The following is a 27,367-nucleotide window of genomic DNA, read 5'->3' as shown; positions in this document are numbered from 1 at the left end:
ATTTAGTGGGGTTTTATGGCCATTTATGTACATCTTCTTTCCCCTTGTGCACAGGGAGCCCATTCTCCAGGCCATGCTGGCTTCCTCCACAATCCTCTTTTCCAGCTTCAGATCCAGGACCAGGACATTCATCTTGGCCTGGTTCAACTGGCTAATCTCATATTTAGGGCTCTTATGCCTATATTTACAAATAAGATTAGCCTGTACTTTTTCATTTTCTGTTCTGTCCTTTTGTGTTCTGCCATCAAGATTAGCTCGTTAAAGAAGCTAGAAAGAACCTATTTCCTGACTGGTGGAATTTCCCTATGAGTGCCCAGCCTGGCGTTCCCTTCTGGTTGTTGTTTATGTCAACAGATTTTAAACCAGTGACTCACTTTACTTGATGATTCTAGGATCATTGGGGTTTTTTATTCATTTTAGAGTGCGCTCTGAAAACTTACATTTTCGATGAGATTGTTCAAATGAACTAAGTTTTCTAATTTACTGGCACAAAATTACTAATCCAATTGTCTCTTTCCTTTCTAATTGCTCATTCTTCTGTGGTATTCTCCCCTTTTCCTTCCTAATATTATTTATTTGTGGCTTCTGTCTTCTTTTCTTGGCCAATCTTAACAGACGTTTGTCTGTTTTAGGAGAAACAGTAATTGGCCTTGTTGATCCTCTGTATGTTTTTTTTTCCTATTTTATTAATTTATGTTCTCATTTATATGTTTCCTTCCTTCTTTCTCTGCGTTTTGATTTTGTTTGGTCATTCTAACTTCTTGATCTTAAGTTAGAAGTTAGACGTTGAACCGAATCTTGATCTATATTATACAAAGAGTATTCTCTTTTTATAATATACATATTGATGACTGTCAGTCTCCCTCTGGTCCTGCCTTCAGTAGCAGCCCTGTGGTGTTTTGATATGTAGTATTTCCCTTGTCATGTGTCTCTAAGTCACTTCTGGTTCAAGTTCGACTTTTTCACCTGCTGTCCTCATTATCCCACTACCCTTGCCTCAGTTTAGGTTTCAAAATCCTCTACCCAGATTTCTTCAATCATCTCATGACCCATCTCCCTGCTTCAGAGCTCTTGTCACCGAAGTCACATACCTAAAATAAAATTCTCACATATCATTCTACAGTTAACATCCCTAGATATCAAAAGTTTGGTAAAACTTATCAACAATCTAAAAATTGTTCATAATGCCTTTATTCTCATTATTAATTTTGATAATTTATTCTAAGAAAATGTTTTTAAAAGTGAGAGAAATATCAGCACAAAAGTCCCATCTATAACACAATTTATAACAAAATATAGAAAGAATCTAAAAATTTGGCAATAGAGAAATGATGAAGAAACCAGGAACTCTCAGCATAACAGAATATTATTCTGATCTCAAAACAGTGCTTGTGTTTGTAATGAAAATGTTTAAATGTTTTTGGTATGTGAGCAAAGACTAGACTCAAAATAACCTACAGTATAATCATGACTATGATTTTAAAAATGTATTATACATTGAAAATACTGTAAGAGAATGCATCCAGGTTTGACAAGAATTAACTAGGTCTTGGTAATAGGAGAGTTTCCCCCTCACATTTTTCTCTAATTAAAAAATATTCTATAATAAACATATATCAATTTCTTAATAAACAAAGAAAGAGCTTTGAAACTTCTCCTGAGGACCTCCACATGCCCAGGCTAAAGTGTAGTCTGGGCAGTCTAACCCCTTGGGCCTGCCTTCTCTCTCTCCTGCTCTTGCAACCAACACAAACCTGTAGGCCCCCAACAAGCCACTTGCTCTCAAGTCCCCATGGCTGCTCTCACTCTGATGTACAGTATTTGCAAATAGCATATACACTCCACCTGGAAGGTTATTTTCCCCCTGAATTCTGACTGCCTGCTCACTCCCACTCCCCAGATGCCCTGTGCCTGTCTCACTGAAGCACCTAGCATTTGCAGTGTTACATTGGCTATGTCCCAGTCCCATCTGGCTGTGGGGAAGGGCTGGGTTCTAGTTTTCACTGTGTCTCCAGGACATGGCCAGTACCTGACCCAGAGGGTGCTCAGTAAATGATGCTTCATGAATGGGTTGATCCACCCACAGCAGTTGTGTGCGATGCTCCTCAGCCTCAGGCGTGTCCTTCTGCATCCCTTAACTCACCCCTTTCAAGAATCATTTGGAAACAGCAAAGCACCACCCAAAGGAACTGAGATCATTTTTCTTTACCCTCATATGTATATGCCAATTTATAGTTTAAAAATCCTTTCCCAGATACTATCTGGCTTAACCCTCATGACAGCCTGCAAGGAGATGAAGGTCTCCACTTCACCCAAGAAAAAGAGTGGGGCTCAGAGAGGTCAAGAGATTTGTCCGAAGCCACTCAGTCCATAGGTGGCACATGTCATTACAAACCAGGGCCTCTGGGCAGGCTCGTTTGGTTTTCCCTCTCCCTACCATCATGACTATGAGGGAAGCTGACATGCTAGGTTTAGGGGAAAGCCCAGACTTAGCATATTTACCATCACACACACTCCTGAAGGACTAAGGGCCAATCTCTGATTTACCTCGAAATTGCAGAGGATGTGCTGGAAGACACCAGTGTTGGTGATAGCAGATGACCTGAAGCCCAGCTCCACAGTGCCAGCCACTGAGAGGATCAGCTGAAAAATTCGATGGTTCAGGAGAGAGGCCTTCTTCCTCAGGAGAAACGCCATTATCTGAAAAGGTTAACACAAAGCAGTTTCCTCATGAATGCATCATTAGAGATTTCCCCTTCACCCACTTGTCCCAGTCCAGTCTGCAAACCTTCTGCTCTCTGCTGCTACCATCCTTCATTCCATGTTCTCAGAAGAAAAATACACATCAACTTCTGTGGCCACTTTTCTGTGCTATGACCTGACTTCTCACTGGGACTCTTACTTTTCCCTGCATCTTTTCCATGTTTCCAGAATGCCACTCTCTCCTGGTTTCCTCCCACACTCCTCAAGCCTCATTCTCATTTTCTGTTACTGGGTCCTTTACATGCGTAACCATCCCATAAATGCTGCATTTATGGGAAGCTACCACCTGCCCATGAGCCTGGCTGCACCCAGCCAGATGTGCCTGTCAGTTGCACCAGCCCCTGGGAAGCCAGCAACATGAAGCATCCATCCCAGCATGGAGGCACTTGGGTCCCAGCATACATTTGGTGACCCAGCTTGTCTCAGACTAAGAAGATGGGTCCCACCAAGCCTCACATCTCTGTTGACTGCAGCCCCACACGAGTCAGTCTGCCCAGCCATCCATTGGCATATGAGCCTTGAGCGACCTAATCTGGAGTCTCAGCTCCTTCCATCCATGGCTCCATTCCCCATCAATGGCTCCAACACAGCCCGCCCTTTCTCCCTGTCCTCCCAGACATGTTCTTGCAACGTGCCCTTCGGAAGCCTTGTTTGTGATCAGAAAAGACTCAATATCTTTCCAGACTATTCATGTGTGTGTATATATATATGTATATATATATATATATATATATATATATATACAGACACACACATATATGAAATCCCACAGCAAGACAAAATTAGGATGGCTAAAAGTTGCATGTGAAAACATTCAGGCTGACTGGCTTCACTTTACATCAAACAGTGTCAAATGTCAAACTGACACTCAGTCAGTTCTGGCAATCCAACTCTGTCCTTCTAATAAGCTATATTTTCTTATCCTAAAGATCATGGTTTCATTGCTTCTCCTCTCTCCTCTAACCTCTCTTCCTCTCCCCCACCTGACCTCATATTTTGCTGAAAAGATAGAACCCATCAGATATGAATATTCTTTTTTCCCACCACCAAATTAACAAACGTGTTGCATTCCTTCCTGTCACAAGCAGAGTCTCCGATCTACCTGGTCTCTGGATCCTACTGGTCACCATCTCAAGGACACTGCTCTTTGAGATAACTGTTCTCTCCAAGCTTCCACTGCCCCAACCCTGGATCTCTTCCTCCTATGTACAAATATATTCTAGTATTTCTCATTGTAAAAATAACCCTCCCTCCATCCCTAATCCCTGTAGCTTTATGCAGCTCCTCCTGCTCATAGGCAAACTTCTAGAAAGCATTATCAACACACCCTGGCTCCATGTCCTTACCTGACATTCTCTTTTCAACCTGCATCAGCCAGCCACTGCCTCCACCTGGCTACCTCCCTCAGAAAGGCCACCAGGGACTTCCAGGTGGCCAAATCCAAAGAGGACGCCTCCATCCTTTGTTTGTGCTATTCTTTATCAGCATTTAACATGGTTTGACCATACCCGCCTTCTCAAAACACGTTCTTTTTTCAGATTCCTTGACATAACTGTCTTTGATTTTTCTTCCCTCTTGCTTCTCAATCTCCTTTACTGGGTTTTAATTATATTCCCAGCTCCATGTGGTTAGCTCCTCTTTGTTTCCCCCTCAACCTTCTTCTCTCTGTACAGCTTCTTTTTGGTGATTTCATCAATTTCCTTAGATTAAATATCATCATGGTGGCGATGACCCTCATATTTACACCTCCAGCACAGCCTGTCCCTGAGCTCCAGAGCCTTCTCTCCCACATGATACTTCACCTTCAATGTCTCACAAACATTTCCCACTGAGCATGTCCCAGCATCTCCCTTCCTTCCTGTCGGCGGCCTGCTGGACCGCCCTGGCTCCTTTCCAGCGCCACCTGCCCAGGCTGCTCACAGATCCTGAGACTCCCCAGGTCAGGAACACAGGCTCCTATTAGGTCAGATTCTATCTCAGCCCCTGCTTGAACCTCATCCCCATGCCTCATCTTCTCCACTGACGTCAAGGGGTGTTCTAACACCTCTGTCAGTCCGTTTCCCTGTCCCGGCCTTCCTGCAATTGCCCATCACCTGTGAGGCAGAACCTACGTTCCCCACAGTGGTAAGGCTATGGCTCCCTACCCTCCATTCGGTATGCCATGCACAGCTCCACAACCATCCTCTCCTCCTAGCCGTGTGGAGGAACCCAGACCAGCTCCTGGAAGTGTTTTAATGTTAGTCTGGAACAGTATCCTCCTCTTTCCCCATATTAAGAACACCCATCCTATAAAACTCAGCTGGCTATTGCTTAGTCTGAGAAGAGGCTGATAAATCAGCTAGACAGAAATAACAGATAGGAAGGTTTATGCTCTCCCACCCAACCAGTAAACCAGCAGATGAGCCTAGAGTAAAACCTAAAAACTGATGAAATCCACTCCTGAGCAAGCCACTTAATTGAAGACCCCTGTTTTCATTCACGGATTCATTCCTCAATCCTAACTGAGCACCTACTATCTATGGCATGTTCTTAGGGTACAGCAATAAACAAGCCGGACACACGCTCTTATGAAGCATGTGCCTGGGGGTGAAACAGACACAAACGTGGCAATACGGAAGCAGACATCACGCAAATGCACATGCAGGTTACAAAGAAACACAAAGCGAGAAAACGTGCCTAGAAAAGGATGAGGGAGGATGGAGGTTGCATTTTATAAAGAGTGGACAAGAAAGTTTAAAAAAACAAAAGCAAAAACAAAATAATACTATTTCTTCACTCAAACCTGCCATTTACCACCTCTCTTGCCACGCAGCTTCTCCTTCTGATTTTCCCCAAAGACATAAATATTTGAAATGTTTCCTTTTTAAAGACAGAATAACAGTTTTAAATTTTCCTTATTCTGCCTTCATGTGTAAGTGTACAATAAACCTCTGAATCTGATGAGTTCTTTACTCAAAGGAGGTATCTGAGAGACTCTCCCTCATGCTAACAGTATTTTTCTGTCCACCTTCTTGGATGGTAAGTCCCATGAAAACAGGGACTAAACCCACCTTGTTCACCTCACATCCCTAGTGCCTAGCACAGTGCCTGGTCTTAGGAAGCATTTGATCAATTAAGTTGAGTAAAGAGATTACATCCTTGGGCCACTCCTTGTCTCTACCATCTCTTCCTGGAAAGCTCAGTCAGCTCAGTCTCCAGGAAACCTCTTGATGAGCTTCCTTTTTTAACAAAACCCTTTTTGACCCCTCTACCTACATGTGACAGCAGGCGCTATGTACCTCTGTGGTAGATAGTTCCTCCTCTCAAGGCAATGTTCTCATTTCTGAACCCTCACTGAGAGCTCACCGCGCCCACCCACCATCCCCAGGACTAGGCAATGAGACCACAGTGAGCCTGAGGTAGTCTGAGCTTTCTGAGAAGCTCAGAGTTTCTGGGAAGATAGCCAGGTAGCCAGTGAGTCACAAAGCATGTAGTAGTTCTTGATGTGAATCTTGGACACCGATTGCATTTTTATTTATATTAAAATTATTTTGGTTCTTATTTTATTTTCTCCTTCTAGATACACTCATGAGGGCAGGAAATGATTTGTGCCTTTTTAGAAATTGTCACAATAATTATTAAAATCCCTAACCACAGCAGATATCCTTGTGCTGTATTAGAATAGATCCTACTACTATTATCTTTAACAGCATATTCAGAGAAAACCTTTGTGTACCAATATCCCCAATTCTTGAGTTTTAGCATAAACTCAGACATACCCATTTACTCATTCCCAAAACATGTACTGAGTGTCTTCATGGTGTCAGTAATACACCAGCAAAGAGTAAAAAACCTTAGGATCTTTAGAAGATTCCAGTAGAGATGTGTAGACTGAGCATTCCAGTGTGGGTGCGAGAGCAATTAAAACGGGATGTGCCCACAGTGCCAAGAGGACCAGGAAACAGCCACATGCTCAGCTGGGGGAAGAGAATGCTGCCTTTGCTATTTGAGCTTGATCTTGGAAAACAGAAGGAGGGTGCTTGAGGGAGAAAAAAAGAGGTGCTCTGAGCGGAGGCCACAGGCACACAAAGTCATACACTGTTTAATGATTGGAGAAGGTGCAGGATTTGGGGAGGTGGGAACATAGGCTGAAATGTTGGCTGGGTTGGAGATGGGGCTGGAAGGAAAGGTCTGTGGCCAGTTTTGAATGGCTTTGAAAACCTGTCTAGGGAGTTTGGGATATGGTATCGGTAATCAGATGCCTTTGAAGGTTTTACACACAGGAGGGACACCACCAGATATGTGATGTGGGCTACAGCTGGCATCAGTGGGCTACGAGGGACAGGCTGGGGGAAGGGGTTACTGTCCAGCTGTGGCAGTAGTCCAGACAGACAGGGGGAGTGCCCAGAAGGCCATCACACAGCTCTCTTCTGCTCTAACCCTGACCCAGTAGCGAGAGACACAGGAGGCTTTGCCCCAATCACCCAGCAGCCCCCACACCAGAGGAAGCCTCCACTGCCTGAGACCTGTGACATGGCCCAGACTCCGACCCTGGCCCTGCCCTCCTAATTCCTCACCTGGCTGCCTCCCAGACATGTGAGAAGTTACTCAAGGGCAGTGGCCATGTCTCATCTGACTTTACCAATTCTAAATAGCAATGACAATCACAGTAAACACATGCGAAGCAGGTCCCGTGTGCAGGTGCTCCTCTAAGCTCTCAACACATATAAACACAGTCATCACAACCCTGCAAAACAGGTGCTCTCATAATCCCATTTTACACATGAGGGAACTGACGCACAAAGAGATTAAGAAGTAGAAATGACTAACATTTACTTAGCACTCATTCTGGGCCTGACATAATTCTAACCTCTTCACTTGTGTGAAATCATCTAATCCTCACTGCAACCCTATTACAGTCCATATCTTACAGGTGGGGAAACAGGCAGAGGATAAGTAACTCATCTAAGGTTAAATAGCAAATTAGAAGAGATAGGATTTAAACTCTGGCAGTCTGCTCTGCAGCCTGGGCTCTCAGCCACCATGCTAGAGACAAGGTGGGGAGACAACCACAAATGACATTAGAATTTGTCAGTGAAAAGGGCCAGAAGCCACAATCAGGTGAGCATCCTCATCCTGAGCAGAGCTCTTGGGCTGGCTGTCGCCTGCCCCTCCTCTGCTGCGAAGTTGCTGGTCTCAGAACCCAAGGGCTTTCGGCTGCCCTTCTCTAGAAGTCACCCTGGAGGGAATGCAACTGAGGCAAGCAACGCTTGTCCCTGTTTCCCAGGGATGACAGCCCTTTCAGGAGTCTCAGTTCCAGGTGGGAGGATGGGATTACCTGGTACCCACAGATGTGTTGCATCAGGAAGTCACACATGGCATTACTGGTCAGGACCGAGTGCAGAACTTTCACAGCCGCATACATGGTATGGTCATCTGTCGCTAAGGAGATGAGGCCCAGGAGGATGGCAGGCCCGCCAATGAAGTCCAGGCTGCTGGCAGCAGGGCTGGAGTGGAATACCCTCACCCCTGTGTGGCATAAAGTGGGCATTTCATCAACATGTCACAGCTTCATTGCAATGGGAAATTCCCCGACAGCACAGGAGGACCAATGAGCTACCAGTGCCACCATCCATCCACAGCCAGAGGGACCTGTGCACCTGGGACAGGCTGGGGGGAAGAGCAGGAGGTTCTGAAAGTCTTAGATGGCTGGGAGATACTGTGCTAAGTCATTTCTTTGCCATCAGAAGGCTGAACAGCCCAGAGTATTTCAGATTGCCGCCCTCTGCCTTCACTCCAGAGTGTTGGATGAGCCAGACCCCTGAGCCTCAGTATCCCTATTGCTCTAACAACCCATTGCTCTTGCCTGTCCTCTAGATCCTGCTGGGCAGGGCACTTGCACCAATTTGTTGCCTTGCTATTGCTCAATTGAATGGTGACCAGCAGTTTTCACTCAAACAACTACAACCAGTGCTTCTGCTTAAAAGCCCCACTGTACTCACTAGATAGACAGCTTCCTGTCGTCACAGACAGCAGCCTGGTTAGTAGCTGAGCTCACCACTGATTGCCACATGTGGCCAGGTGAACAGATCCTCATGCTTTCTGGGAGACTAACTCTCTGGCTGGATTCACTCCCAACTCTGGTCCTCCCGACCCTGGTTCCCTGGCACACTCCATCCTGTCCACCACTCCAGAACTCCAGGGTGCACAAGCCATGACAGCACAAACCCTGCTTCCCAAATAGCGGCAAAGCTTCCCAGTTGAACATACCTAATTGACCCACAGCAACAGCTCCAATGGTCCGCAGAGACCCTGACAGGTGGCCAGCACAATTCCTCAGCAAGAACACGGGCATGGCATTGTCACGGGATGAAATGTTCATCTAGAGAAATGAGCAGCAATTAGTCCTAAGAAAGTCCTGCAAAAGAAGAAGCATTGTCCACGAGCTCCTGGAGGGCAGGCCCTCTGGGGCCTGGCCCAGTGCTGACACTCCATCAGCAATGATCATGGAATGAATAGCAATTGAACCAATGTCAGGGGATTGAAGCCAAATTCAGGCTCATGCATTCTGTCTCCCAAGCTGTGGCTGAATTGTAAGTGAGCAGCTTCAGTTACGCAGTCTGAGCCACCAGTGTCCCACGTGCTCACAGTGAGGTGCTAAGAAGAGCAAGAGGGACCCAAGGACACTTTCAGGTGGAACAGCGCTACCAAGGTGAGGGCTGCCACCTTCTCAGACTAGGGTTGTTCAGGCTCTGGGAGCCCAATCTCTACAGATGTCAAAGGGGCAAGAAGATAGGAATCCTGGACTCCTACATCAGAAAGCGGTGTGTTGCTGCTAAGCCACAACTTTCATGATCAACAGGACCTAGTTCCTGACTCCCCATCCTCTGGGGGTACCCTCTGTCCATTAGGGTGAAGGAATATAAACGAATTGCAAATTTTCATCAGTGCTAAGCAAAAGAGCTCTTTATGCAAAAATTGGAAGTAAATTTAATGGCATCCCCATCTACAAACATATCTCCTTGTTGTTTTGAAAATTTACTGTTTTTATTTGTTTGTTTGTTGTTTTAATCACAGCAATATTGGGTGCTGCTGTGAATCACACCTGTAATCCCAACTACTCAGGAGGCTGAAGCAGGAGGATCACTTGAGCCCAGGAGTTCAAGACCAGCCTGGGCAACATAGAGAGATCCCATCTGTAAAAAAATAAAAAATTAAAATTAAAAAAATCACAACAACTCAAAGAATATCTCAGTGTTAGTGGGTCATTAATACCCAGGACTAGGGAAGCTCAATAGTGTTTTCAATGTTGCAAAGGTATTTAAAATATGTCATTTGTTCTTGTTCTTTTATTTATGATTTTTCTTCTCTGAATAATTATAAATGAAAGGCTTAGTCTGGGAGGACACCAGTGGGTGGGGAGGCATAGGATATTTTAACAAATGAAGTGGGAAACATGTATTTGTGTATCCATCTACACAAGTGCAAACATGAAATAGTGTTTACTTAAGCACTGAAAGCTAATGCAAACCATGAAACCAGATTCCAACAGAGATTAGCAGCGAAGTTAGAAGATGTACCTCTTTGGCGATCAGGCGGCTGTCCACCTCATTGTAAGCATTTCTGATGTCCGCTACACTGGTGATAGAGGAGCTGGCTATGTGAAGTCCAAAAGAAACTCTTTCTTCTGCAACAAAGGGCGTGGCTTCACTGTCCAGGTCCTCCCCTGTAACAACACATCTTTAAACATTTCTAGTCTAACTTTACAGAGCAGGAAATTAATCCTCATACAATTTAATATCTCTGTCACACAGCAAAGTAATCATTGAGAGGATGTTTGTATGTTGTCACATTGCATGTTTTTGCACATTGTATGTTTGCATGTCATTTGTTTTCCCCTCTTCTCTGATAGTTATAGAAAACCGTGGGCTGGGCATGGTGGCTCATGCCTGTAATCCCAGCACTTTGGGAGGCCAAGACAGGCAGATCACTTGAGGTCAGGATTTCGAGACCAGTCTAGCCAACATGGTGAAATCTCGTCTCTACTAAAAGTACAAAAAATCAGCTGGGCATGGTGGCGCATGCCTGTAGTCCCAGCTACTTGGCAGGCTGAGGCAGGAGAATGGCTTGAACCGGGGAGGCAGAGGTTGCAGTGGGCCCAGATCATGACATTGCACTCCAGTCTGGGTGACAGAGTGAGACTCTGTCGAAGAAGAAGAAGGAAAAGGAGAAGGAGAAGGAGAAGGAGAAGGAGAAGGAGAAGGAGAAGGAGAAGAAGAAGAAGAAGAAGAAGAAGAAGAAGAAGAAGAAGAAGAAGAAGAAGAAGAAGAAGAAGAAGAAGAAGAAGAAGAAGAAGAAGAAGGAGAAGAAGAAGAAAGAAAGAAGAAAGAAGAAGAAAGAAGAAGAAGAAGAAGAAGAAGAAGAAGAAGAAGAAGAAGAAGAAGAAGAGGAGGAGGAGGAGGAGGAGGAAGAGGAAGAAAAAAAGAAAACTGTGGCGAACTCTCCCAAGATTTGTCTTACCATGAAATAGATGCACTCCAGGTGCGAAACTACCAGAGCTTAAAACATCTGTAAAGTATATAACCTCATTCCCTAAAACCAAACTCTTAAGTGACAAGAAACCTGACTTGAAATAGGCTGATCTGAAATGTCTAATTTTCAATGAGCTGCACAGCCACGGCAAACACCCCAGTTTGAATTAACATACTGGTCTCTAAGTCAATGATACCCAATGTGCTAGTAGAGAAAGGTGCCATGAATATAGAATTGGTAAGACTTTGGCTCTAGACCTGACCTCGTCCCATTGCTCTGGCCAGTGCCATTTGCCACAGGAAATGAAATTCAAAGACATCATGGGCCTGGAGACAGAAATGCTCAAGAGCACTCAATCGCCCTTCAGCACATACAGGCTGCTGACATAGATTCATTTATCATTCTTTCCAGATGGGAGCTGACCCCTTTGACTTGACAGAGCACAGAGAACAATGCTCCCTGCTTGAATAACAACAATCAATAATGAAAATGTGGATGTTTTGTCTGCCTGTTTAATAATTGAAGTCAACAGTATACTTTAGTTAAAAAGCTTCTTCATTAAAAGCAATGTAACTTATTTATCTCATTCTCTTCTCTCTTTCTTTGCTGATGGTATTGCCCAACCCACCTCTTCCCCATTAGGGCTTTGGAGTTGAAATCTAAAGATATTGTCATTTCCTTTTCTGTGACATTTTCTCTTGGGTTGTAAATATATAATGATACAATTACAGAGGTCTTCCCTAATGACTGACTTTAACGCTGAGCTTATTCTCTGCAAATCTGCTACAAATAACTGGATGTCCATTTAAAAACTAATATCAGCAAGAACATTGTAAATCAAAACACTCCATACCTTGGACATGCACAGCTTGGAAGTTACCACAATATCTTGGGCCAAGTTTGTTAATAACTTCCAGAGTTTCCATTGAAATGGCTTCTTCAAAGAGGTATGTGGGGCCAAGACGCCAGATTAATGAAGACTTTTGTTTCCAGACTCGAGGAGTAGCAATATATCCATAAACATCCACAAATGCGGATGGATCCATAGAAAGGAAAGGCCCTGGTAGAGCCTGGATGTATAACATCTGTTAAAATAAAAAGGACAAGAGTGAGTAGTGTTTGATCTCAGAGTTAATCAAGTAAATACAAAGTGATATAACATGATGCATCTTATTCTCATCTCATAGTAAAAATGTATTTTATCTAAAAAACTAAAATATAATTCTCAAATCTCAGAAGTATGCGCAAAACAAGTTATTAAATGTGGAGTAAAAAACTGATACTGTCCTTTTGAAAATAAATTTGATAAAAAATATTAAGAAACAAAAAAGTGTACACCTTTCTTATCTCAGTCATTCTACTAAGAACCTGAATGTCTAGTATTGGCAAATTAATAGTTTTATGTATGAACAATAATTACATACATACAGAGTGGAAAGGAAGAAATAAAACTGTTTCTATCATGTCCATGTAGAAAGTTCCAAGGAATTTTTTTTAATATCCTAGAATAAGTGAATTCAGCAAGGTCACAGGATACATGATCAATACACAAAAATCAATTTTATTTGTGTAGGCTAACAATAAACAAACAGAAACTAAAATTAAACACAATACCACTTACAATTATGCACAAGAAAATGAAATACTTAGTAAGACAAGTAGAGGATCTGTATACTGAAAATTCCTAAGTGATGATGGAAAAAGTCCAAGACGACCTATATAAATGGAGAGACATACCAGGTTCATGGATAGAAAGGTTCACTATAGTAAAGATATTATTTCCCCTCGAGTTGATCAGTAAGTATAATGCAATTCCAGAAAGGTTTTTTGTAGACTATCAGAATTCCAGCAAGGTCTTTTGTAGACACAAACAAGCTAATTCTAAAATGTATATGGGAAGGCACAGGTCCTAGAATAGTTTAAACAACTCTGAAAAAGAAGAATTAATTTGGGGGAGGAACTACTCTAATAATGACTTATTATATAGCTATAAAATCAATATAGTGTGACATTGGTATAAAGATAACCACATAGATCGATGGAACAGAATAGAGAACCCAGAAATAAGCTTATATAAGAATGCTCACCTGATTTTTGACAAAGATGCAAAAGCAATTCAATTGAGAAATGATAGACTCTTCAACAAATGGTGCTGGAGCAATTGAACATCCACAGGCAAAGAAATGAACTTAAACCTTACACCTTATACAAAAATTAATTCATAATTGATTGCAAACTCTAGTGTAAAACGTAAAACTAGAAAATTTTTAGGGAAAAAAATAGGAGAATATCTTCAGGATCTAGGACTAGGCAAAATATTCTCAAACGACACCAAAAGCATGAGTCATATAAGGAAAAACTAATGAATTATATTTCAGCAAAACCAGAAATTTTACCCATGTGAAAGAGGATTAAAAGACATGCTACAGACTAGGAGGAATTATCGCAAATCACATATCTAACAAAGGACTAGTGTCTAGAATATATATGTATATATATAGACACACATACACATATATGTATACATTTTAAAACCCTAAAACCCTTAAAACTCAACAGTTTAAGGCCAGGCGCAATGGCTCACGTCTGTAATCCCAGCACTTTGGGAGGCCGAGGCAGGCGGATCACGAGGTCAGGAGATCGAGACCATCCTGGCTAACATGGTGAAACCCTGTCTCTACTAAAAAACACAACAAACATTAGCCAGGCATGGTGGTGGGTGCCTGTAGTCCCAGCTACTGGGGAGGCTGAGGCAGGAGAATGGCGCGAACCCAGGAGGCGGAGCTTATAGTGAGCCGAGATCGCACCACTGCACTCCAGCCTGGGGTGACAGAGCGAGACTACTCCGTCTCAAAAAAAAAAAAAAAAAAAAAGTAAACGATGCAACTGGGTGTGGTGGCTCATGCCTGTAATCCCAGCACTTTGGGAGGCTGAGGTGGGCAGATCACGAGGTCAGGAGATTGAGACCATCCTGGCCAACATAGTGAAAACCCATCTCTACTAAAAATACAAAAATTAGCTAGGCATGGTGGTGGGCACCTGTAGTCCCAGCAACTCTGGATTCTGAAGCAGAAGAATCACTTGAACCCAGGAGGCAGAGGTTTCAGTGAGCCGAGATTGCACCACTTCACTCCAGCCTGCCAACAGAGTGAGACTCCATCTCAAAAAAAAAAAAAAAAAAAAAAAAAAAAAAGCAAACAATGCAATTAGAAAATGGGCAAAAAATATGGATGGACATCACTGAGGAGAATATACAGATGGCAAATAAGCACATGAAAAGGTGATGTTCAACCTCATTAGCCACTAAGGAAATACAAATTAAAAACACAGTGAGATATTACTACACAACTATCAAAATGGCTAATATAAAAATAGTGACAATGCTAAGTGCAGAAAAACTGCCTCACTCATCCATTGTTAGCGGAAATGTCAAATGATACAATCATTTTCGAAATAGTTTGGCAGTTTCTTATAAAACTAAACATTCAATTACCATAGAAACCAGCAATTGAACTCTTGGAATTCATCCCAGATAGATGAAGACTTAAATTCACACAAAAACCTGTACACAAATGCTCACAAAGCTTTATTTGTAATAGCCAAAACCTGAAACATCCCAGATGTCTTTCAATGGATAAATGACTAAACAAACTATGGCACATCCATACCTTGAAATACTACTCAGAAATAAAAAAGAATGAACTGTGGCTACAGGCAAAAGTTTGGATGAATTTCCAAGTATACTTCCATATATTGCTGTGTGCCACATTACAATGTTCCAAGTCAGTGTCAGAGCACATATGCAATGGTGGTCCATCAGATAATAATATCATATTTTTACTGTACTTTTTCCATGTTTAGAGTGTTTAGATACACAAATATTCACCACTGTGTTACAGTTGCCTACAGTATTCAGTATAGCAACATGCTGTCTAGGTTTATAGCCTAGGAGCAATAAGCTATACCATATAGCCTAAGTGTTAGGTTAAATGAGAGGTTAAATGAACTAAGCAGTATACAAGATTTTCTATACTTCGAGGCCACACTATTTTTTAAAGGGATAAAACTGAAATTACAAAATATGATAAAGTAGTAGGAGGGTAGCTAATCTTTTCTCTATTTTTGAGCTATTTCAAAATGCATTTATATTATTCTTATAATTACTATAAAATCACTATATATAAGATATATACATTTGATATATACATCTTTGATTTTATACATAAGATATATACATAAGATATATACAATTGTACATATATAAATATGTACAATTGGCCCTGCATATCTGGGGGTTCCATATCCTTGGATTCAATCAACTTTGGCTCAAAAATATTCAGGAAAAAGAACAATAAAAAATAGTGCTATAACAATAAAAAATACAAATAAAAAAATACAGTATGACAACTATTTATGTAGCATTCACATTGTATTAGGTATTATAAATCATCTAGAGCTTAGTTAAGCATGCAGGAGGGTATGCATCTATTATTTGCAAATACTACACCATTTTATTTAAGGGACTTGAGTATCCATGCAGTTTGGTATCCAGGAAGGGTCCTGGAGCCAATCCCCTGAGGAAACTGAGGGATGACTGTATTTTTCTAAATGAGAGTTTACAGAATTTCAGAAATATTCTTTTTCACTCTACCAATTAAGTGAGATTTTCAAATAAAAACAAACCAATTGTTCAGCCATCAAGGCTTGCCAGGAGTATGATTTTCTGTGCTCTCTTATCTCTCTGTTCTCGCAGGCACAGAGTCCTCCTCTCTCTCCCACACTGAAGCACCACTCACCCCTCCAACCCACCTTGCTCCTGTCTTCCAAATTCCCAGTGTATGCACACTGCCCCATTCAGGTTGCCTAATAAATGTCTAATGTCTCATATCGTTCCCAAATCATTTTGCCCAATTCAAACTATTAAAATGCTCCATATCTTTACAAATTTATGTAAGTTTCCTTTGGCAATAAAAACAAAGGCTCAGCATTTTGAGAAGGGCTGTTAAACTAGTCAAATTAAGCTGAAGTTCTCACATCTTACTCTTGTCCAACAGATGTTTGCATCAAAACACAGGCCTTTATGTTTATCTTGGTTGAGTTTCACTTGCTGGTCCTGACCCAACTTGTTGAGATTATTTTGGAAAGCGCACTCTGTCAGTCTTGGCTTTGGCCACTCCATATAGCAACACACCACTCCTGACCTCCCTGTTGATGGCCCTAGGCTTAGCAGGTCCCGCAGGGAGGATGTTAATGCCTGTACCACTTCACCCAACCACACTAGCAGCCAGTCATGTTCCTCCTGTGGCTGCACATTCAATTCAGTTCATCAAGTGTTTATTCCATGCTTACTGTGTGTCAGCCCCTGCGCCAAGTTCAAGGAAGGTACAAACATCAATAAGACATGCCTCAAGGTATTTGAAGTATTTCACAAAATATCAACATATTCTGTGAAAGAAGACAAGAACAAGTGAACTCAGTAATTGAGCCTAAACAGATAAAAACAAAGATATTGCAACCACAAAAGACACCACACATCCCATCCCAACTAATGTGAGGGACTTCTGCTTCCTCTCTAATGATAAGTCCAGCCCTGTTCCGTGTCTCTACCTTCTGGATAAAAGTTATTAACATTCACAGTCACCAAATTGCACCTCTTTCCAGCAGCACCCAATTCAGAACAGACAGACCTCCACTTCTTTAAACCCTTTTAAAAATCACCTAAAATGAATCTAGTTTCTGTAACAAGCCACTCCTAACTCCTTACTACCCCATGGGATAGGAAATCTCTTGCTATAGTCAGTTTAAATCTAATTTTTATTTTATACTATATGTATGTTCCTGGAGGTCTTTGGCTTATAAGCATAAATAATTCTTAGAACCTAAAACAATTCTTAGCACCTTATACTATATGTATGTTCCTGGAGGTCTTTAGCTTATAGGCATAAACAATTCTTAGCACCTAAAATATTAGCTAACACATAACAGGTGCTCAATAAATATTTAATGAGGAAAAGAAGAAAGAGAGAAAGGGAAGGAGGGAGGACTGATATTGTTAATAATTGCAGAAAAGGTTAACTATGTTTTGAAGGACCTGTTCTTTCAATGCCCCTGTCAAAATCTTTCTGGTCAGCCAGGCGCAGTGGCTCACACCTGTTATCCCAGCACTTTGGGAGGGCAAGGCAGGTGGATCGCCTGAGGTCAGGAGTTTCAGACCAGCCTGGCCAGCCTGGTGAAACCCCGTCTCTACTAAAAATACAAAAATTAGTGGGCATGGTGGTGGGCGCTTGTAATCCCACCTAGTCAGGAGGTTGAGAAAGGAGAATCGCTTGAATCCTGGAGGCAGTGGTTGCGGAGAGCTGAGATCGCACCATTGCACTCCAGCCTGGGCGACAAGAGCGAAATCCTATCTCAAAAAAACATATATATATATACACACACACACACATATATATATATACACACACACACATATATATATACACACACACACACACATATATATATATTTGGTCATCACTGCCTTTTTTTGATAACAGAACTTTACCAGCAGATGGTATCAAATTCACCTATATGTGTCCCACAGAATTTGGGACTAAGAATTTGTTCTCATCTGATGACTCTTAACCTGGAACAACTTTGACCCCCAGGGTATATTTGGAAATGTCTGGAGATGTTACTGGTGGTCACAACTGGGCAAGGTCAGGGGAGGAACACTATGGCATTTAGGGGGAATCCAGAAACCCTGTGTATGTAAGGTTCTCCATTCTGGCTGCATATTAGAATCACCTAGAAAATTTTACAAACATTAGTAAGTTGTCAAATTACCTGACCCAGAGAGATTCTGATGTAATTATTCTGGGTGCAGCCTGTGCAAGAGAACTTTAAAAAGCCTTTGCAGGTGATTTTAAAATGCAGCCAGCTTGGGATGCTCTCCCTGGAACTTGTGTGAAAATCCAGCCCTACCTGCCTTCTATGGTCCTCCGGGCCCTCTCTTCTCTGACAATGGCTGCTGGCGCCTGCCAGCTCCACCTTTTCCCAGCTTTCTCTTATACCTGGGGTGTCTCTAAATGACAGCCATGAGATGCTTCCTCCAGCTATACATTTGCATTCTATTACCTTCCTCATGGTTCTTGCTCTAAATCTGACGACACGTGTTGGTGTCTGCCCACTCTAGTGTCCTGCTCCTCCGTGTGGTGCAAAGATGAGCTGCGTTGGCCTCACCTGGGAGCTTCTTGGAAAAGTCATACCTTAGGCCCTGCCCAGACCTCCCTGAGGAGTTTGCCCCTCAAAATGAGAAGCTTTGCTTTGTTCATTCTGGAGTTTTCTATTTTCATGAACATGACTATTCTTAGAGACCTGGATGCATGTCTTGCCTTCTGCCCTGGTAGCGTGACCTTCAATGCATTTTCTAAAGATGTCCTTTTCATGTCTGAACTCAGCCAAGTTTCCTGAACAGTAAGGCAGATTTCATTAGATGCCAACCCTACCAGTAATAAACAAACAAACAAACAACAACAAAAACATAGAATGAAACCGAGGCCACTTCAGGGTAGTAGCAGGAGGTATGGTTGTGGGGCAAGTGCAGCTTGGAGGAGCCATCTCACCTTGGCAGAGCCAATGACCTGTCCATCCAGACAGGTGGAAACTGTACAATGCCTTTTCATTTCCTTAGTGACAACCACAGCCAAGTGATGCCACTGACCACAAGCCAGGAGCTGGCCACACCTGACCTGAAGCTGGCATCCTGCAGAAGGCTCGGAGTCATCCTCAGGTTCCATGACATCTGGAAGACAGCATGAACACTGAGTCTCACGTGTGGTGCTACACTGCAGGAACCCAGGAGAATGGGGAGGGCATAGGCGGACGTCAACCACTGGGCCTTGTACCATGGAGCCCTAGATCCTCCTCTCATGAAAAATGACAACAGCAGCAGCAATAGCAGCAGTCATTCTTTGAGCTCTTCCTTTGTGCCAGTTTTAAGCATGTTACAAATATCAACTCATGTCATGTTCACAGCCCTGTGAGGTAGGCGCTCATACATGCCCAATTTACCATCCTGAGGCACAGAGAGGTTGGGTGACTTGCCCAAGGTCATACAGCCAGGATTCAAACCCAGAAGCCAGGCTTCAGGTCTATCCCAAGGTAGACTACCTCCACAGAGACTCCATTGTAGGCCGAGTCCCAGAGAGTTGGATAGGCAGTTGTGCTGTGTACAAGGGTGTCAGCCGCTTCCACTGTTTCATAGGGCCTCCCAATGTTTTTCCCTATGAAACAGTGACACTCTCAGGACACAGGAGAAGAACAAGTGGACAGAATCCACTGGACTTGACCATCTCAGGCAAATGAGCCTGGAGAACAACGCTGGGCTCCAAAGGGCAGAGCCAGGGCTGGCCTCTAGCACTGCCAAAGGAGGGGTGGCCCTGGGCGCCATGCCAAGCATGGGCCAGCCTTCTGGGTTTGGGGTTGAGCATATGTGGGAGCGCCTATATGTCTGTAGCTGCTTCGGCTCCAGCTAAATTGTGTGTGTTCTTCACAAACCTCACTCAGGAGAGGATGCAGCCTGTGTCCCAGCAAGGCAAAGCCCTGGGTCCCATTGTGACTGTTCTGCCAGGGCGAAGTTTCTGAAAAGCCACTGAGCATCATCTCTGAAGCTGTGCCAAGGGCTGGGGCCTCATCTGCCTGACACTTACAAGCCTAGAGCCCAGGCCACAGTGAACCACAACAAATATTGTAGACCTTTCACCAGGTATGGAACCCAAGGGAGCAATTTCAAAGGATGAGGAGAAACAGAAGGTCACCAGGTTTCTAACCACACCTGTGTTGAGAGCTTCTGACTTAGCCCCATTTCCCCCACATGTGGATGAAACTGGCTTTGGATCCCAGCACCTTACCCAGAGGCTGAAACTCCTTCTCTTCTGTAGAAACAACCAAGGAGAGGTCGTCTGGGCAGAGGCTGACGGAGAAGCAAACAAAGGGTTGCTCAGTCCTGGCCAGGTGGCGCACCAACGTCAGGAAGCGCAGCGGGTGGCCCTCAGTGGCAGCTCCATGCCGGCTGATCAGGAACCAGCAGGAGAAGGTCAGACCTCCAGGAGGAGGGAACGGTCTGGTGGCACCTGGGTGGGAACACAGGCATGCCCTCAGGCTTTGTTCTGCCCTGCTGAGCATGCATGTTCAGATTCACTATGGTGCTGATTTAGCCCAGGTGCAGCACCTACTGGGTGTCTTGCCTAATCACCAGTTGTCTCCTCCCCATTATGGCATGCTGCCTTGCCAAGGGAGCAGAGAAGATCTCGATCTCCCTGAGGTCCGTCACACGTGGGCTCCTGGTCAGCTGATCTATAGCCAGGCAGTGTGCTCTGTGGGGCAGAGGACCTTGGCCTAGCTCAGCTGAACCTTGGATAGGAAAGGGCACCAATCTAGGAATGCCATGTGCCCTCCCATCACATAACAGGGTTGGCGATATAGACAGGTCCATTGTCCTCACAGAACAGGCAGGATCAGCTGCTGTGTCCTCAGACTTGGTGCCAACTCACATGGAAAAACGTCATGAAGGCAATGGCTCCCCAGCACCCATGATCCCATAGAAACCCCAAACCCAATTCTCCTAACAGAGCGTGTGGCTCAGGCAGCATCAGGCACTTGCACTGTCCCACCCAGCGTGTTTTCAGCTAAGTGCAGTGCTGTGCATAGAAGCCACTTGCCAAAGATTGGTCTATTCTCAACGGCCATCAGCCCAACTCATATTTCTCTCTAGAGAGAGATCTAAGGCAGGTAATGTGTCCATCTCAGCCTACATCAGTCACCAGCGAAATGAGCCAATTTTTCAATGTCAATTGAGTCCCTAGCTATAGGCTGGACCCTTGGGATGCACAATGAACAGAACATCTTGCTCTAAAAGAGGAGCAAAGTTGAAGAACAACTCATCTGCAGATACTCAGGACCAAGGCAAGACTCATGTTTGCTTTTCTTTTTTTGAAACTGGGTCTTACACTGTAGCCCAGGTTGGAGTGCAGTGGTTCAATCATAGTTCACTGCAGCCTGGAACTCCTGGCCTCAAACAATCCTCCTGTCTTGGCCTCCCAAATTGCAGTATTACAGGTGTGAGCCACCATGCCCAGCACAGCTCACACTTTATTGAAACACCAAGTAAAAATCTGCAATCAAGGCTATCTGAAGACTCATACTTTGGAAGGGATGGAGAGCTAAACCATCTGGGAAAAACACCTACCTGTCCCAATTCCTCCAGAGACAGAGTACTCAGTGCTGGTTCCCATAACTGTGGACAGGGTTGGAATAAACAAACAGCTGGAAATAGAAAATTGTCTCAGATCATTGGACTGCAAGCCAATCTCTTGCACTGACACAGCTAGTCTGGGCCATGACATCTTCCCACTCTACCCTCCTGCCGGCACTGTAACCCTCCTTAGACCATAAGGTCCCAAGGATGGACTGCAGCTGGTGCTGGTAGGATGCCTAAGGGAAGGAATTGCACTGCAGGCAGGATGGGAGGGTGTTCCAGAATGCAGCCACACCAGGGAAAAGAGGGTCTTGGCCCTCCATAGCTGGGGACACAGCCCCTGGGAGGCCGCTGAGTAGGCGGGTGTCCATGACCCAGACATTTTCCTCTGCTGAGTGGTGAGATTCAATGGGAACTACAAGTTTGCAATCAATATTATAATTCATCAGAGGCACTGCAAAATTAATAAAGTGCATTTTAAATATGTGAAAGCCTGTCATACCCATAACCTTCCACGGACATGTCAAATTCCACAAACGATGGGGCCAGGGCTGCCCTCTGAGGCTGCAGGTTGCGTGGGGAGGTCATGGAGATGAGGCTCAGCGCCGTCTGAAGAGCAGTAGTTGAATCCTGGGATTCCCCCAAGGGCTGCGGGGCCTGTGTGACTCCAGGGTGCAGCCCAGCATCTGGGGCAGCTGGCCAGGGCCCCTCAGCCAAGCCCTGTGCAGTCTGTGACCCTAGGGCAGCAAGCAAGAGAAGAGATGTGTCTCTGCTCAAAGCATTTCTGTCTCGCTTCTGACAATAACCCCAAAGTATCTGCCGCAGCCCAGAAAGAGAGTTTCGCACAGTCACCAGGTACTTCCTAAGCACCAGCGAGGGTGGCTCCCTGGCCCCCAGCCCGGGCCCCCTGCTGAGTCTGATAACAAGGAATGGTGTTGCTAACCTGCTCCTTCTAGAAACTTTTCTTTCATTCCAGCACAGATCCCTTTTCCAGCATAGCACATTCTACTGCTGCCACCTCTGTCTCTGGCTTGCCCCATTGGAGTTACTCACTGGAGCTTTGTGTCTGCTCACAAAGCCCACACTTTCCTTCACAGCAGCCTCTCCTTGTAAGCTCTGGGCTCCCACCGCAGCTGTCAGCCCCAAGCCTGATCCCGCACCCTTGCTTCTCCACTGGGCCTGCCTGTTTCCTTGAGGTCTTATGTGATCTTACATTCAAGATGTCCACGAGTTTCTTTTCTCTAAGCTGGTTCCCTGGCCAACATTCCCCAGGTACTAGGCCTGACACAGGGGTACCACCTGCATCTTGGGCCTCCAAGGCTCTGACATGCCCTTGAGCTGTGAGCTGTACAGAAGCCTTCCCTGCACACCTCTGTCTAGTGCAGCGCCACGTACTGCTGTGTCATGAAGGAAACTCTGTCTCTGCTTCCATGATCTGGAACCCAAAGGGATCATCTGTCTTATATGTCTGGGTGGGGGTTCATCTTTCTCCATCTGGATATGGTCTTTCTCCAGAGACCAGGAATTTCTTTGCTTTTTCCTCAGTTGCTGCATTGAGCAGCAGACAAAACCATGTTTAAACCTGTTTGCTTTCCCACCTGTTGTAAAGGATCCCTCAGCAGGAATGCCTATCATCTTTTACTTCCCATTAACCTGCCCCGTTCTTGCCACTGTCCTCACCTGAGCACCCAGGGTTGCCTCTGTGTGTGTGAGATGAATCAAGGATTTTTGTTGTGGCCGACAGAGATGAGGGAATTCCAAGACCTAGAAACTGTCTGAACATAACATACAAGAGGAAAAAATGAAGACATTTTACTAGCAACAGTGTTCTCCAACTTTATCCTGACAACTGTCCTAGATGCCTGGAGCTCCCTGACCTCCCAGCCCCACTGGAACACCCTTTCTGAAAGCAATGTGGAGACAGGGTGTCTCTGCCCTGCCAGCCAGACCAGACCAGAGAGCTGGTAAGTTTAGGAGCCTCAAGATGGATGTCATAACAAAAAATAATGTCACAAAGTAAATTTGTAGTAATTGTTTATAAGTTTCTAATGGAATTTCCCATGCAGCACTATAACCAGCAGCCTCCTCTGGCAGCTGTCGTGCCCGCCCCTGGGTCCCATGTCTGCTGGCTGGAAAGGCTGTCTGTGCGCCCTCTACACTTGCTCCTGTGTATAAGCAGCAGGGCCCCCCGCTCTGTGCATGGCCCTCAGCACTCCAGGTGGCATAGGAGACTCCTGCCCTCCCCAGTAGCTTCCCTTCCCTCTGCTCTCTTGTCTTCCACGTCTGCTCCCTGCTTCCCACCCTGTGCACCTTTGCACTTTCTCTCCCTGCCATGGCTCTCCAGGAATGTGGCTTCATGTAGAGGCTGACAGCAGGAAAGCCCCCTGGAGGATCCAGGTGGGTTCTGCCCCATCCTCCTCCATGTCTGCAGTCCCTACATGCTTACTGCCCAACTCCCTACAGGACACAGTCAGCCCCTCCCAGCCCCACCCCTCCCGGCAGAGCCTTCCAGGCCCAGTTCCCTCCTCTCTTTGTCTAGTGAACTCTACAGGCCTCGGAATGCAGCTCCACTTCCTTGGAGCCCCCTCCAGCCCCCACGTGATCCATTAGAGGGGGCTATGTCTGCTTTGTGGGCACCTGCACACTGCCTGGCACAGACCCAAGGCTCAGCCATGGACTCCAGCCTTGAATGCCAGGACAGAGCCGTGCCCTCCATCTGTCCCTGCAGTCTCTCCACTGCCCATTGTGCAACCCCTGCCCTGCAAAGGACATGGCTGCCCAGCTTGGCGGCACTGAATATGCAGCATGTGGTACCTTAGCACATCCGGTTCAATGGCCTGGGAAGCGAGCTTCTCAAAGATCCTGATGAGGCGTGAGTGGAGGGGGCTGCCACTGGTGACCAGGGCCCTGTGGCAGGAGGCCATGAGGGTCCCAAGCAAGCCTGCTTCGCACATGACCTGGCGGTTCTTCTCCGACTTCACCAGGGACTGGATATGACTGGCCAGGGAGCACTGGATCTCCTCGGAAAGCTAAGAGTGACCAAAGCAAGCTGTGAGCCCTCCAGGGCAGAACACCTTGTGGACAGCTTTTATAGGCTCCAACTTGGCCTGGGGTGAGTTGTGGAACAAGGAGACTGCGCCCACCATACCCCATCCCCACTACACCCACGCCTGTCTCAGGGTTCTTCCAGTGCCCTCCTCACCTGGCGGGGGGCAAGTCTGTGGGAGGCAGCCTCTGGCAGGACACAAGCTGCCCAGGTCAGTGTGGGGAGAGGTCAATGGCTAAAGATGGAGGCCACATGCCAGCAGGCAGGAGGCTGCGTCTGCCTCTTAGACGTGCTGTGTTTGACCCACACAATATTTCAGCAGTTTCTGAATTAACTGCTAGCATTGAAAAGTCTGAAGATGTCACATAAAAATCCAGACTTGTGGCCTCTCTCAAAAGATGGGACGATCTGGCCATGCTGGCTTGCACCTCTGTGGGGGGAAGGTGGCTGGTGCTGGGTGGGAGCTGTGCCCTCCAGGGGTCCAACATCCCCCCCAGCTTGGCTTTACTCCCCTAACAGTTCCTGTGTTGGAGTTCGCACCCCCGGAGTAAAAGGTGGAATCTGCCTGGGAGTACAAGACTAAAAGAAGTACCACTTACCAAACATACACACTCTGCCTTGACAGATACAGGCCCCACCACAGACATCTCAAACCACACTCAAAGTCTGCAGGCCAACTAAAGTCTCTGGGGAGAAGCGTTTGCTGAAGCCACTCTCATCCCCTGGGTGCCATCTCCCTCCGCCCACCCTCCCATCATCCTGTGCCTGTCCCTCAGTCCTAAGCACATGCTGCCACATGAATAGCTGTGCTCTTATCTTAACCCTGAACTAGGTTTCCAGCTACTTCCCTCTGCTTATGTCCTTTGAAGCACATAGAAAAGAGTGCATAGACTGGGCTCAGTAAATATTTGAGCCTAATACCACACATTGCTTTTACAATCATTCTTTCATTGTAAAAGATAAATCTTTGGAATTATCCTTCCCAGGCTGGATAAAGGGTTTGGATTGGGTGGGATGTTCCTTTACAAAAACTCTTAGGACTGTCCACATTCTCTTTTGTTGCTGGATAAGATGTCGTATCAAGTGAGAGGGATACAGGTTAGATCTTAATGGAATTTTCCTTGTCCCAGTGGATGCTACTGTGCTCCATGCAGATCTCCTTCTCCAGATGAGAGGTATACCTGCCACGGCTTCCCCTTCTCTGCAGAACTGCCCTCCACAATGGTTGAACTAGTTTACAGTCCCACCAACAGTGTAAAAGTGTTCCTATTTCTCCACATCCTCTCCAGCACCTGTTGTTTCCTGACTTTTTAATGATTGCCATTCTAACTGGTGTGAGATGGTATCTCATTGTGGTTTTGATTTGCATTTCTCTGATGGCCAGTGATGATGAGCATTTTTTTCTCATGCTGCTATAAAGACACATGCACACGTATGTTTATTGCGGCATTATTCACAATAGCAAAGACTTGGAACCAACCCAAAAGTCCAACAATGATAGACTGGATTAAGAAAATGTGGCACATATACACCATGGAATACTATGCAGCCATAAAAAATGATGAGTTCATGTCCTTTGTAGGGACATGGATGAAATTGGAAATCACCATTCTCAGTAAACTATCGCAAGAACAAAAAACCAAACACCGCATATTCTCACTCATAGGTGGGAATTGAACAATGAGATCACATGGACACAGGAAGGGGAATAGCACACTCTGGGGACTGTGGTGGGGTGGGGGTAAGGGGGAGGGATAGCATTGGGAGATATACCTAATGCTAGATGACGAGTTAGTGGGTGCAGCGCACCAGCATGGCACATGTATACATATGTAACTAACCTGCACAATGTGCACATGTACCCTAAAACTTAAAGTATAATAAAAAAAAAAAAAAAGAAAATGCAAAAAAAAAAAAAAAAAAGAACTGCCCTCCACTAGGTAAGAGCTGCCCTGCCCAGGGGCCATGGAGCCCTACCCACCCAAATACACATACACACACACTTACATGCCCCCTACTTACATACACACGCACACGCGTCCATACACACAGGTACACGCACATGTGTCCACACACACATCCACACACACCATACATGCCTGTGTGCACACACACACATACTCCAGGCTGGAGCCAATGAGGCCAGTGCCCTCGGGACTGTGTTGTGCAATTCATGCCTCAGAATCCCAGGGGCTCCGGCTGAGACAAGACTTTGCTGTGAGCGCATCCTCCTTCAGCTCTTTCCCTGCCCGGCTTCCCTCACTCTCCTTCCCTCCCGAGTCCTTCCCTCAACAAATCCCACATACCTGGACCCCTGTCTCAGGCTCCACTCCCAGGGAACCCGACCTGAGGCACCAGCATTCTTTCCATGTTTTATACCTTTGCCGCAGTTTGTAGTTTCAAGAAAGGAGATCAATGGCCATGTAAATGAGTTCTAGACCACCAAAGTGAAGCCAGGAGAAGCTGTGAATGCACTACCTGAATAATCTCTTTCTAAGGAGGACTAGGGTCTGGTCTCTTCACATCACAGACCACCTGTTACACCACCCAGTAAGAGCTTTCTTGGAGTCCTCCCTGCTTCCTCTCTTCCTATTCTTTCTCAAACAAGAATGAAGTGGCTCTCAACATCAACTTCTGGGTAAAGCTCTAGGCGTTTAAAGATGAATAAGACACTGTCCCTGCTTTCAAGGGATTCACAGATTAAAGGTGATACACGTGGGCAGACACATTGTCCCAGCACAGTTTGAAACGTGCTCCAGCAGAGAATTTACAACATCGAGCACAGCAGATGGGGTGGTCCCTGCAGCCTC

At 45.2% G+C, this 27,367-nt stretch overlaps 1 protein-coding gene across 13 annotated transcripts in view; it reads right to left on the bottom strand.

The window, feature by feature from the left end:
* Positions 1–27,367, bottom strand: part of WDFY4 (WDFY family member 4) — a 298,084-nt gene that overhangs the window by 183,959 nt on the left and 86,758 nt on the right. For 12 of the 13 annotated variants that reach the window (XM_011539988.3, NM_001394531.1, NM_001370153.1 and 9 more), the window contains 11 exons: positions 24,326–24,540; positions 23,192–23,286; positions 22,014–22,248; positions 21,503–21,579; positions 20,166–20,387; positions 18,879–19,057; positions 12,128–12,359; positions 10,323–10,468; positions 9,013–9,124; positions 8,081–8,271; positions 2,548–2,700 (listed from right to left, as the gene is read on the bottom strand). In XM_011539988.3, the coding sequence (XP_011538290.1) occupies positions 2,548–2,700; positions 8,081–8,271; positions 9,013–9,124; positions 10,323–10,468; positions 12,128–12,359; positions 18,879–19,057; positions 20,166–20,387; positions 21,503–21,579; positions 22,014–22,248; positions 23,192–23,286; positions 24,326–24,540 (1,857 nt within the window). Of the gene's footprint in view, positions 1–2,547; positions 2,701–8,080; positions 8,272–9,012; positions 9,125–10,322; positions 10,469–12,127; positions 12,360–18,878; positions 19,058–20,165; positions 20,388–21,502; positions 21,580–22,013; positions 22,249–23,191; positions 23,287–24,325; positions 24,541–27,367 lie in introns of those variants that run through there. The other variant, XM_017016464.1, reaches the window with a different exon arrangement.

The sequence above is a fragment of the Homo sapiens genome, chromosome 10, assembly GCF_000001405.40.
Source record: "Homo sapiens chromosome 10, GRCh38.p14 Primary Assembly".
In the NCBI taxonomy this organism is placed as follows: Eukaryota; Metazoa; Chordata; class Mammalia; order Primates; family Hominidae; genus Homo; species Homo sapiens.
The sequence above is the reverse complement of the archived record's forward strand: the minus strand, read 5'-3'. Positions and strand labels throughout refer to the sequence as shown.